The sequence below is a fragment of the Homo sapiens genome, chromosome 3 (assembly GCF_000001405.40).
Source record: "Homo sapiens chromosome 3, GRCh38.p14 Primary Assembly".
Lineage (NCBI taxonomy): Eukaryota > Metazoa > Chordata > Mammalia > Primates > Hominidae > Homo > Homo sapiens.
Window position 1 is genome coordinate 125,414,638 of NC_000003.12, and position 12,698 is coordinate 125,427,335.

General features: G+C 43.6%; 1 long non-coding RNA gene across 1 annotated transcript; it reads right to left on the reverse strand.

Moving 5' to 3' along the window:
- Positions 1–201: 201 nt before the first annotated feature.
- Positions 202–11,494, reverse strand: LOC105374081 (uncharacterized). The gene is made up of 3 exons (XR_924428.4): positions 11,160–11,494; positions 551–626; positions 202–285 (listed from the first exon to the last, which is right to left on the reverse strand). It is a non-coding gene; the product is annotated as an uncharacterized LOC105374081 (long non-coding RNA).
- Positions 11,495–12,698: the final 1,204 nt, after the last annotated feature.

Genomic DNA, 12,698 nt, shown 5'->3' on the forward strand with positions numbered 1-12,698 from the left:
GTGTATCCTCCTGGAAAGGGTATTGAGGGACGCTAAAGACTCTCTTTAAACAATTGATAAAGAAATCCCATTAAACCCATTCGTGTGGATGGCCTCTATGAACTTGCCATCCAAGCTCACAGTGAGGCATCAGCTCCTAACCAGGGGAAGGCGTTTATGCCTCGCAGCTGAACGGGGGTTCGGGTGCGGTCTTCTGGTTCATCTGCAGAGCTCTGCCTCCAGCAAGGCCCTTCACATCCCGTGCTTCTCCAGCTTTGCACAAAAGCACCCTCACGTGAACACCAGCTGGGGGTGGGTGAGAAGAGGTTGTAGCCCAAAAAGGCCAGCTGTAAGCTAAAAATTTCTTTGAAAATTTGCAATTTATATTTAAAATTCATGTGAATTTTACAGTCTGTTTCATAATGTGTTTATAGATAAAAATGTGTTTTCCCCCTTAAAACTTCTAAAAAATTGGTGCTCCGGGTGGATGGGCTGTATTTACCCTATTTGAGTATCTCTCGGCAAGCTACCCTGGACCTCCCCACCTAATCCCCACCCTTCACAGACATACCATGATTTTAATTTGATGTTGAGCCAGACTCTCCAAGTCTAGATGAGTAAATTGCTTCTTTCCAATGTTATACGTCCTGGAATAGAAAGAACATCATATATTCTTCTAACATATAGAGAAGAGGGTCTACGTAAGCTTTGGTTGACAGGTGTTTTTGAAATTGCCTTGCGAACATTTGTGAGTAGGACTTCCTGTACAGACAGGGGTGACCACATTAGGCAAGAGCTAAAGGATCTTTTAAGCTCTAGGGCTCATGATTGGTCATGACCTACCTAAAGTCCCAGGGAGAGCATGTCTGGGTGGCAGGCACTTGGCAGGGCTGACCTCACTACAATCACAGGGCTCTAAATGAGAGGTTTGAAACCCCCCATTTGCCACAAGTTCCCTGAGAGAGCAAGCATCTCTAGGAACTTCTGCACATTGAATCATTTATCCTGGAAACTCAGTCCCTATTCAGTTGGCCCTTTCTCTGGCTAGGACTTTTGGCTTTCAAAAGTCCAGGGTGGGTTAAGGCAGCTCTAAATGGCAGAGGGCTGGTGTGCAACTCCTCTGGCTAGATTTAGGGCTGGGCCAGGCTGTCCATAGGTGTTTAAGGTTGGATGGAAGGCACAAGATCATTTGGGGAAAGATGTATTCTCCCGAAATTGGAGGTCACATCCTTCATGAGCAAGACTTGTAGAGTGCTGTCCGTGGGTGTGATGAAAGGGGGCTCATTAAGAATAACAAAGGGACCAGACTCAGTGGCTCATGCCTATAATCCCAGCGCTTTTGGAGGCCAAGGTGGGAGGGTCCCTTGAGCTCAGGAGGTCGAGACCAGCCTGGACAACATAGAGAAACCCCATCTCTTCAAAAATACAAAAATTAACCAGGCATGGTGGTGTGTGCCTGTAGTTCCAGCTACTTGAGAGACCAAGGCAGAGGGATTGCTCTAGCCCAGGAGGTCGAGGCCGCAGTGAGCCATGTTCGTTTGTGCCACTGCACTCCAGCCTGGGCAACAGAGCAAGACTCTGTCTCAAAAAAAAAAAAAAAAAAAAAAAAAAAGAAGAACAAAGGAAAAAGAAAAGAAATAAAGAATAACAAAAGACACTCCTGTTAGGAAACTCCAAGGGTTTTAGGTGTTCTGTGACAGGAATCTAGGCAAAGACCAAGGATACTCTATATTATACCACAGAACCCCCATCCAGAAATCCTTGGGGGTGGGAACAGGGGCAGCCCAACCTGTGGGACTTCCCTGAAGTGACGTCATTCCCGGACTAATACCCTGGTAAGAGGAGATCCTTCACCTAAGGACCTGGATCATTAAATGAGGCCCTCAGCAAGTTGCAGTGGGGAATCCACTTCCTTCTACTGGCCTCATTGTCCCAACTTTCGACTGCCTTAGTAGAGGGAGTCAAGGTGGTGTCAGCCTGTGGATTTTGGAGGTACAGAAGAGAGAGAGGGACCTCTGGAGAGAGTCACAAAGCAAGCCCTGCCTTGTGAGCCAGATTTTCCTTTTTTTTTTTTTTTTTTTTTGAGACAGGTTCTTGCTCTGTTGCGCAGGCTGGGGTGCAGGGATGTGGCCATGGCTCACTGCAGCCTTGATCCTCTGGGCTCAAGTGATCCTCCCGCCTCAGCCTCCCAAGTAGCTGGGACACCAGGTGTGTGCCACCGCACCTGGCTAATTTTTTTAATTTTTGGTAGATGGGGTCTCACTATGTTGCCCAAGCTGGTCTTTTAAACTTCTGGGCTCAAGCAATCTTCCCACCTCAGCCTCCTAAACTGCTGGGATTACAGGCGTGAGCCACAGTGCCCAGCCCAGACTGCCACTTTCGTATCACTGTGTTCTCTTCTCAGTTGCATGTCTTAAGCTTTTGTTAAAACCTTGTTTAAGTAGGGTAGCCTTGTCTCCACTATCTGGATGGTAAGAAAAAAGGTTACATATTCACCCTTGGGACAGAGGATCAAAGCAGGAAGCAGGTGTGGGAGCCTGGGGTTGGTGAAGAGAGACTCCTAGGGAGAGGATAAGGTTCCAGCTCCACGTTAGAGCCACATGTTCCAGCTGCCCCTTCCCCTCAAGAGATTCTGCTCTCATGCCAAGGAATAGATTCTGCTCTCATGGGTATTTTATTAACATATCTGGCATTTCCTTACTACCAACTACCCTCAATCTGCTTGACCCCATAACCACAGCTGTCAATACAGCAGCCAGGAATCCAGATCTTGGCCTGTGGGTGCAGCTGCCCACAGATGGAGGTGTGCAGTTATTTCAGACCTGAGACCCAGGCAGGCAGAAATGTAAGAGACCTCCAGGCCAGGGAGAGACTCCAGAGGGCTGGAGATCGTTTCTATCTGATGGACACAAGGCCCTCGGGGAAATTAAAATCCTTTCCACCTTGAATCCTGTCCCAGGATCTTGGTGAACTTTCTGGTGAGCCTCTCCGCCCTCAGCAAAGAAGGGTCAGAGGAACGAATGACCTGCATAATCCTAGGGTTTCATGGGTTTCACATTGTGGCCTTTGGGTCTCTGGGGTGGTGGCAGCATCCCAGCCGTGGGGGTGCAATGCGCTGTCCTGGGTCTACAGTTTGCAGTAGTACCATTCCTTGATCATATCTGTATGCTGAACAAGCATGGCTTGTGATGAAATAAAAAACTATTTCTTGCCTCCCATTACCTTTTTTTTTTTTTTTTGAGACAGAGTCTCACTCTGTCACCCAGGCTGGAGTGCAGTGGTATAATCTCGACTCACTGCAACCTCCGCCTCCTGGGTTCAAGTGATTCTCCTGCCTTAGCCTACCGAGTAGCTGGGATTAGAGGCACATGCCACTGCACCTGGTTAATTTTTGTATTTCTAGTAGAGACAGCGTTTCACCATGTTGGCCAGGCTGGTCTTGAACTCCTGACCTCAAGTGCTCCGCCCACCTTGGCCTCCCAAAGTGCTGGGATCACAGGTGTGAGCCACCACGCCTGGTCTCCCACTACCCTTTTTAACGTGAGTCAGGGTGGGAAGTGTTTCTTCTGCTACAGAATGAAAGCTCAGCAGGCTCAGTTTCAGGTCATAGAGAGGCTTTCAGTCACTTTATATCAGAAGGACAGTCTCAATTCAATAGTTACATATAAATAACTCTTGAGTATTCATGTGAAGGAAAGGCTTCTCCCTCTCTTGCTGCAGACACTTGTAGTTGATGCTGCTGTCTCTGAGAAAGGGGTGACGATCACCTTCTTCCTCCAACCCAATCTCCTCCTCTCTCCCTTCCATAGCACTGTTTCCATCATCACCAGGGGAGGGAAAGGGCAGGAGATGAGGTAAGGGGCTGATCACATGCCACTTGGCCAGCTGGCTTTGCTCTCTCTGGGTTGGCAGAGAATTCAAACTGACTTTCTGTTTGGATGCTTTGTAGATTGTTCAGAGACTCCCGTCCCTGGGATCTTTCTTCCACAATTCCTTGGCCAGGGTGGTGCATCCATTTCTGAATGGTTTCTTGTGACATCTTTAATCCCAGCTTCTTGCTACGTGGGCCTCAAAGGTTCGCTCTTCAGCTTGATCTCACGTTATTGCCCAGGCTGGAGTGCAGTGGCGTGATTAATATCTCACTGCAGCCTAAAATTTTTGGGCTCAAGTGATTCTCACGCCTCAGCTTCCTGAGTAGCTGGGACTATAGGTGTGTGCCACAACATCCGGCTATTTTTTTTATTTTGAAGAGACAGAGTCTTGCGATGTTGCCAAGGCTGGTCTCAAATGCCTGGCCTCAAGCAATCCTCCCACCTCAGCCTCCCAAAGTGCTGGGATTATAGGTGTGAGCCACCGGACCTGGCCTTTGCCCACTTTTTGACCCATGAGAAACATTCACACTACCCTTTTGTTAAATCAAGTTTACCCTAAAGCTGCCTCCTTACATATTTTAAATTCAGCCTAAAGGTTTCTCTGTACATAGTGAACAATAACCTAAAGGAAGGTGTAAACAGAATGTATTCTACTCTTGTGCCAATCACCCAGTTTTGGCCATCAAAGGGGGCCAACTGTTCAAACTGTGTTCAAATAAGGCAAATGCCAAGCTGTAACCAATTGGGCCATTTCTGTACCTCAGTACAGAATGTCACTTTCCTTTTTTCTGTCCCAAAATCTTCTTCCACCACATCACTGCGATGGAGTCTCTCTGAGTCTAGCTCAAGAGGCTGCCCAATTCGCAAATTGCTCTTTGCTCAATTAAATCTGCTAAATTTAATTTGGCCAAGGATTTTCCTTTAACAGAGGGTGTCAGAAGTGGGATCTGATGTAGAGCTTCCAGCAACCCCTAGGAGCACTGAGTGACCAAGCGAGGTACCCCCTGGGCCCACTATGTCCATTGCTCTCTCTCACAGCAACTGGGGATCGTGGTAAGTTCTCCCTCAGATTCAGAAGCTCCATGAACTTGTGTTTTGAGCTCTCTGAGTCTGAGCAAATTTCTGATCCAAACTGGGTTTGGAAGTCATGACAGAAATTGGACTGGGTCTAGGATTGAATTGGATCTGGTCAATAACTGGCTTGGATCCAGTTAGAGGCCTTTTATAGACGTCTGACTGGGTCAGAAAGAAACTGGTAGTAAGTGGCAATATTGCATGTGGTGTAAACTTCAGCTTTTGGAAATTTGTGGGGATTTTTGTGTTCTACCCCCTATGTTTCTTTCTTCTTGCATGCTTAGGTAAGGAAAAATCATTGACAAAGTTGGTTGAGAGAATCTGAGAGCCAAAGCCAATATTTTAGGTAAAAATTGGATCCTTAATTTTTGAAGAATTGAGTACCTTCCAGCTTATACATGCATAAGTATTAGGCCCCGAAAGCAACAAAGGCTTAGGAAATGGTGAAATCTTAAGCTAAAGATAAGTTACAGTGGAACATTCCAAATAAACAAGGCTGGGCCAGGAGTGGTGGCTCAGGCCATAATCCCAGCACTTTTGGGAGGATAGCTTGAGTCGAGGAGTTCGAGACCAACCTGGGCAACATAGTGAGACCCCATCTCTCTAAAAAACAAAAAAGAAGAAACAAATGAACAACACTGCACTGGAAGAAGTGCATTTGAAAATGAGGCCTCCCAAAGTAGTCTCATCTAGGGGTGCCTACTGATATGCAGAAACTACTAAAGAGTTGGGGTTTTTTTTGTTTGTTTTGTTTTGTTTTGAGACAGAGTCTCTCGCTCTGTTGCCCAGGCTGGAGTACAATGGCACGATCTCGGCTCACCGCAACCTCTGCCTCCCAGGTTCAAGCAATTCTCATGCCTCAGCCTCCCGAATAGCTGTGATTACAGCTGCACGCCACCACACCCAGCTAATTTTTGTATTTTTAGTAGAGATGGGATTTCGCCATGTTGGCCAGGCTGGTCTCGAACTCCTGACCTCAAGTGATCTGCCCGCCTCGGCCTCCCAAAGTGCTGGGATTACAAGCATGAGCCACCTCGTCCAGCCGAAAAGCTTCTAAAGAGATTTTAATATTTGTATTTAAAGACTCTTTATAAAAAGCAAATACAAGCTTAAACAACTAGCTGATAAGAAAAATTAAATCTGCTAATCTGTTAGCTTAGTTACCATCCCACCCCAAAGGTGAAAAGAAAGCTAATCTAGATAAAATGTTTATAAGAGGCAAGGCTACTTTTTCAGATTTATTCACACTGAGTCCAGATATAGAGCATGCTTTTTTTGCCTTATACCTTAATGGGCTTCACCCTGAACTCAGTTAATTTTAGCTAATAAACAGTGGCTAAATTAAAAAGAACACTTATTGAACTAAAATCCACCTTTCTGGGCCGGGCGTGGTGGCTCACACCTGTAATCCCAGCACTTTGGGAGGCCGAGGCGAGTGGATCACATGAGGTTAGGAGTTCAAGACCAGCCTGGCCAACATGGTGAAACCCCAACTCTACTAAAAATAAGTAAATTAGCCAGTGTGGCAGCGCACACCTGTAATCCCAGCTACTCGGGTGGCTGAGGCATGAGAATCCCTTGAACCCAGGAGGTGGTGGCTGCAGTGAGCTGAGATGGTGTCACTGCACTCCAGCCTGGGTTACAAAGCGAGACTGTCTCAAAAAAATAAATAAAATAAAATAAAATAAAATACAGCTTTCTGGAATTTAATTGGCTATCATGAAACCCTTTTGTAAAAAAAAATTACATTTATTAAGGAAATCTCAATTTTTGAGGGTGTCTGCCTAGGTACATTAGAAACTCTTACCATTGTTTTAAGTTTACGTAATAAGTCATACCTTTGTGTAAGGTGCTTTTCTGGCCGTCTTGCCTGGATTGAACTTTTACATGAGCACTGTTTTTTCCCTTGGTTTAAGCAAATGATGATATAATATTTAGTCCTAAAATCTTAGCTCTGTGCTTATGAAATATAATTTTTTTGTTTTACCTAACAGTTGTCTCTTTAGAAATGCAAATTTATTGCCTGGTTAGTAATTCCTTAGGGCAATGAAACAGATAATTGGAAGATTGATAGTCTGAATGGGGAAAAGAAAAGCTATTTAAAAGCCAGCAAATAAAAAAAAGACAGCTTTATGACAGCTCTAAGACTGTTTCTATGTGTTTGTGTGTCTAGATGTGTTATGGACGTGTGATAATATTTGGTAAATATAGTTTTAAAATTGTTGGTAAAATAAAAATGGCTTCAAAATGATCAGTTAAATATTATTAGATGCTTGATTTGACTGTGAGCTTGTGTTTCTGGTCTAGAGCCTCTACGAGTCTGGATAGCGGGCCATTCTGAGGTCTGGAGGGGTGCTCTTAGTGCCTGGACCAGCAGCTACAAGTCAGAAGCAAGACCAGTATGCGCCTTCTTCCTTGCTTCCCCTGATTGCTTACCAGCTATTTTGGGAGAGGTTGGATCCCTTAGGTATAGTAGCCAAAAGTGATGCCTCATGCCTGTAATCTCAGCATTTTGGGAGACCAAGACAGGCAGATCACTTGAGGTCAGGAGTTCAAGACCAGCCTGGCCAACACAGTGAAACCCTGTCTCTACTAAAAAATACAAAAATTAGCCAGGGGTGGTGGCGGGCACCTGTAATCCCAGCTACTTGGGAGGCTGAGGCAGGAGAATCACTTGAACCCAGGAGGAGGAGGTTGCAGTGAGCAGAGATAGCACCGTTGCACTCCAGCCTGGGTGACAGAACAAGACTCTGTCTTAAAAAAAAAAAAAAAAAAAAAGGGCCGAACACAGTGGCTCACGCCTGTAATCCCTTAATCCCAGCTACTCAGGAGGCAGAGGCACAAAAATTGCTTGAACCTGGGAGGTGGATGTTGCAGTGACATTAAAATATTAAAATATGAATTATTATATGAATTATTAATATGATACAGAAAAGTGAAATATAAATTTAGATCTCTTAATAACAATTCAAAGAAGCATCTTTCTAAAAAATTATAAAATGGTTTTTCTCTACAAATACTGATATAAAACAGTTCAAAATTACTTTCTAGGGGCCAAGCACGGTGGCTCATGCCTATAATCCCAGCACTTTGGGGGGCCGAGGCGGGTGGATCACCTGAGGTCAGGAGTTTGAGACCAGTCTGACCAACATGGAGAAACCCTGTCTCTACTAAAAATGCAAAATTAGCTGGGCATGGTGGCGGACATCTGTAATCCCAGCTACTTGGGAGGCAGAGGCAGGAGAATCACACTCCAGCCTGGGAAACCAAAAAAAAAAAAAGGTTTCAAATTAAAGGAGTAAAAAATAGATAAAGCTAAATAAGTAAAGAAAGTTTGGAGGGCAATGTAAAATGTAAAACGTTTATAAAAATCTTGTATGGTTAAAAGATAATAGATTTGATCAATTTATTTGTAAGGTTATATTAAAATTAGCTTTAGTATTGATAGTTTACTAATACCAAAGTAAAATTTTGTTTTCTCTTTTGAACAAAAATGTCATGTAGTATTAATAAGACAATAAAATATTTTTGTTCATCCTTTGAGTAAACTGCAAAAAGAATAAAGAAAGAAGAGAAGAGACAGATTCTGTCTCATACAGTCTTTTTCAGGTCTTTTGATTGTTCAGAAAACTGAGTCTCCTGTATCTAAGACTACAGGTTTTGGGTTTTTTAAGAAATCTTTTAATTATCACTTTGGCTAAATAAATAACTATTATTTTACGGTGACCTGTGATGCTATTTTGGTCAAGTGTTTTAAACCTTTGACATATTTAATAGGCTTCCCAAAATCAAATATCAGCTTCAAAATTAAGTCTTTTTTGACCTCTAACTTTGGGATGCTACAGTTGGTTCCTGAAATATCCAAAAGAGAGAGAAACAGGATTATTTTCCATATTACATTACATGGGAAGCACTGTCAAATAAGAAATGATGTTTAAAAAAAGATGTTTAATCTTCTTCAAGTTATATTTAAATGAATATGCTATTAATATCTGTTCCAAAATTATATGGGATTTCTAAAATTCTAATATGTCTGGGTATATGCTATCAGTCATACTTATGGTCATCATGTTAAGTTTTTGTAGGCCACAGATATAACCAAATTTCCGTATCAATTGTGTCTTTAACTATGACCATTTAAAGTCATTTCCACAGTTAACTGCTTACTTCTGGTGCAGTTTTCCTGAAAACTTCAGAAGCATGCAAAATCCTAGACTACTGAGTCTTTTTTTTTTTTTTTTTTTTTTGAGGCAAGGTCTTGCTCTGTTGCCTAAGCTGGAATGCAGTGGCATGATCTTGGCTCACTGCAACCTCAGCCTCCCAAGTAGCTGGGAGTACAGGTGTGAGCCACCACACCTGGCTAATGTTGGTATTTTTTAGTAGAGATGGGATTTCACTATGTTGGCCAGGCTGGTCTCAAACTTCTGTCCTCAACTGATCCGCCTGCCTTGGCCACACAAAATGCTGGGATTACAGGCATGAACCACTGTGCCTGGCTGAGTATTGAGTCTTTAAGGAGGTTCATGAAAGGATGGAAAGGATTGTGAAAAGCACTCTTGAATACAGATTTCTGATAACTTTAGATCATATCATTTGGACTGAGTAAGAATTCCCAGAACTCTAATAAAGAGAGTGACTGGTTCATGAAGCTGCCAAACCAAGCAGGACAAAAACTAATTGAATACCAAGAAAATACTTTGCCAGATTTTCACACTAAATCAGAAATTATTTAGATATACAATTTGAATGAACTACATGGTCCAAGTCAAATTACCTATGATAACCCACCAGTTATCAGTGCTATGCACCTAAATTGGAAAAATAACTGGTAATTAAGAGGACCTAAGACCGGTGTTAAGTATGGACTCATGGAGACTCTGGATAGCTTCCTTGTCCTTCCTGAGTCCTTAAAGCTTTCGTTATTAAAATCTCTGCATTTTGTGACTCATCATGGAAGAGATAAAATGATCCAAATTAAATATAGATATTGGTGTGGTGACTGTTCCAAATTTCTAAAAAAAGGCTGGGCACAGTGGCTCACACCTGTAATCCCAACAATTTAGGAGGCCATAGTGGAACTATCACAGGCCCAGGACTTCGAGGCCAGCCTGGGCAACATAGTGAGACCCTGTCTCTATAAAATATAAAGAATAAATAAATTCCAGAAATAGCTTATAACCAATATTTGGTTTGGCAAACCCACATTCCTGGTGAGACAATCAAAACTTCAGATACATTTCTGCTATCTGATGGGCATTTAATCATTTATAGCGGGATTTCATTCAATTGCCATTTTCTTATTATTATTATTAACAGCATCTCTTACTCTGTCACCCAGGCTGGAGGGCAGTGGCACAATTTCAGCTTACTGCAACCTCCACCTCCCAGGTTCAAGCAATCCTTCTGCCTCAGCTTGCTGAGTAACTGAGACTACAAGTATGTGCCACCACGCCCAGCTAATTTTTTTTTTTTTTTTTTTTTTGTAGAGACAGGGTTTCACCATGTTGGCCAGGCTGGTCTCAAACTCCTGAGCTCAAGCAGTCTGCCTGCCTCAGCCCCCTAAAGTGCTAGGATTACAGGCATGAGCCACCATGCCCAGTCTGATTGTTATTTTCTTTGTTTTTCGAGATGGAATTTCACTCTGTGGTCCAGGCTGGAGTGCAGTGGCATGATCTCAGCTCACTGCAACCTCTGCCTCCCGGATTCAAGCAATTCTCCCACCTCAGCCTCCTGAGTAACTGGGATTACAGGCGTGTGCAGCCATGACTGGATAATTTTTGTATGTTTAGTAAAGATAGGATTTTACCATGTTGGCCAGGTTGGTCTCAAACTCCTGACCTCAGGTGATCCACCCGCCTCCCAAAGTGCTGGGATTACAGGTGTGAGCCACTGTTCCTGGCCTGATTGTCATTTTCAATGCATGTCTTCTGGTTATATTAAAGCTTTCCCATGCAAGAGGGCTGTTATAACAGCAGCTCATTATGCCAAAGTGTATTTTCACCAGGTAAAGAGAGCTTTTCATGGTCCTCTGACTAGGACAATCAACTTCTTCACAATATAGGACCTGAAGATGAGTTCAGGTTCTGAGAACATCAGAAACAAACCGCCCTTGCCATCTACACTGCAGCAAAACTTCAGGACCTTGAACCTTGGATTCATTATCTCACAACTCAGAAAGGCCCTTCTACACTCTTGGAACTGTACGCCCATTGGAAACCTTAAGGTAAAGCTTACCAGGGAAGTTTCTCCCCAGAAGAAGACAGCATCCTTGACTTGGACAGCTTTTCCCCAAGATCATGAATCAAGACTTCTCTGCTATCATGAGGCTCTTATCTGTCAATTTTTCCCTTTGCTTTGCATCTATGAACAACAAAAGTGAAAAGGTGGTCTATTGTATGCACTCATGGGGTATACTTTTATTTGTGAAGGATTTTGCAACCAGCTTTATACATGCACAATCTTATGCCTCGATAGATGGAAGATGAAGGCCCAAAGTAGAGAGAAATTTTAATGGTACATTTGTTGCCTCATCAGCAGTCAGAAACATAACATTGATCCACTCTTCCTAACCTACACCATGGGTTAAAGAGGACATTGCCAGGAGGTCTTTGTTTTTCTAGATGGGCATCATTTGTTAGGTCTCTTTTCCCCATGGTTTAGAGTAAATGAAGCAAAGATTAGAAATTTACCCTTCATGATAGGCTCTATAGCAGATTCTACTGGAAAGGCTATTGTATTAGTCCATTCTTGAATTGCTATAAAGAACTACCTAAGGCCGGGTGCGGTGGCTCACACCTGTAATCCCAGCACTTTGGGAGGCAGGGCGGATCACGAGGTCAGATCGAGACCATCCTAGCTAACATGGTGAAAGCCTGTCTCTACTAAAAATACAAAAAATTAGCTGGGTGTGGTGGCAGGCGCCTGTAGTCCCAGCTACCCAGGAGGCTGAGGCAGGAGAATGGCGTGAACCCAGGAGGCGGAGCTTGCAGTGAGCCAAGATTGCGCCACTGCACTCCAGCCTGGGCAACAGAGCGAAACTCTGTCTCAAAAAAAAAAAAAAAAAAAAAAAAAGAACTACCTGAGACTGGGTAATTTATAAAGAAAAGAGGTTTAATTGGCTCACAGTTCCACAGGCTGTACAGGAAATATGGCTAGGAGACTTCAGGAATCTTATGATCATGGTGAAAGGCGAAGAGGAAGGAGGCACATCTTACATGGCCAGAGCAGGAGGGAGAGAGAGAAGGGTGAGGTGTATGGCACATACACTTTTGCCATACACTTTTAAATAACCAGATGTCATGAGAACTCACTCTTTATGATGAAAACAGCAAGGGGGAAGTCTGCCCCCATGATCCAACCACCTCCCGCCAGGTCCCTCCTCCAACGTTGGGGATTACAATTTGAACATGATATTTAGACAGGGACACAAATCCAAACCGTATTAGCTATGGTTACACACCAGATTTTTTTTTTTTTTTTTTTTTTTTTTTGAGACAGACTCTCACTCTGTCACCCAGACTGGAGTGCAATGGTGTGATCTAAGCTCACTGTAACTTTTGCCTGCCCGGTTCAAACAATCCTTGTGCCTCAGCCTCCCGAGTAGCTGGGACTACAGGCACGTGCCACCATGCCTGGCTAATTTTTGTACTTTTCGTAGAGATGGGGTTTCACCATGTTGGCCAGGCTGATCTCAAACTCCTTGGCCTCAAGAGATCTGCCTGTCTTGGCCTCCCAAAGTGCTGGGATTACAGGCGTGAGCCACCATGTGGCCAG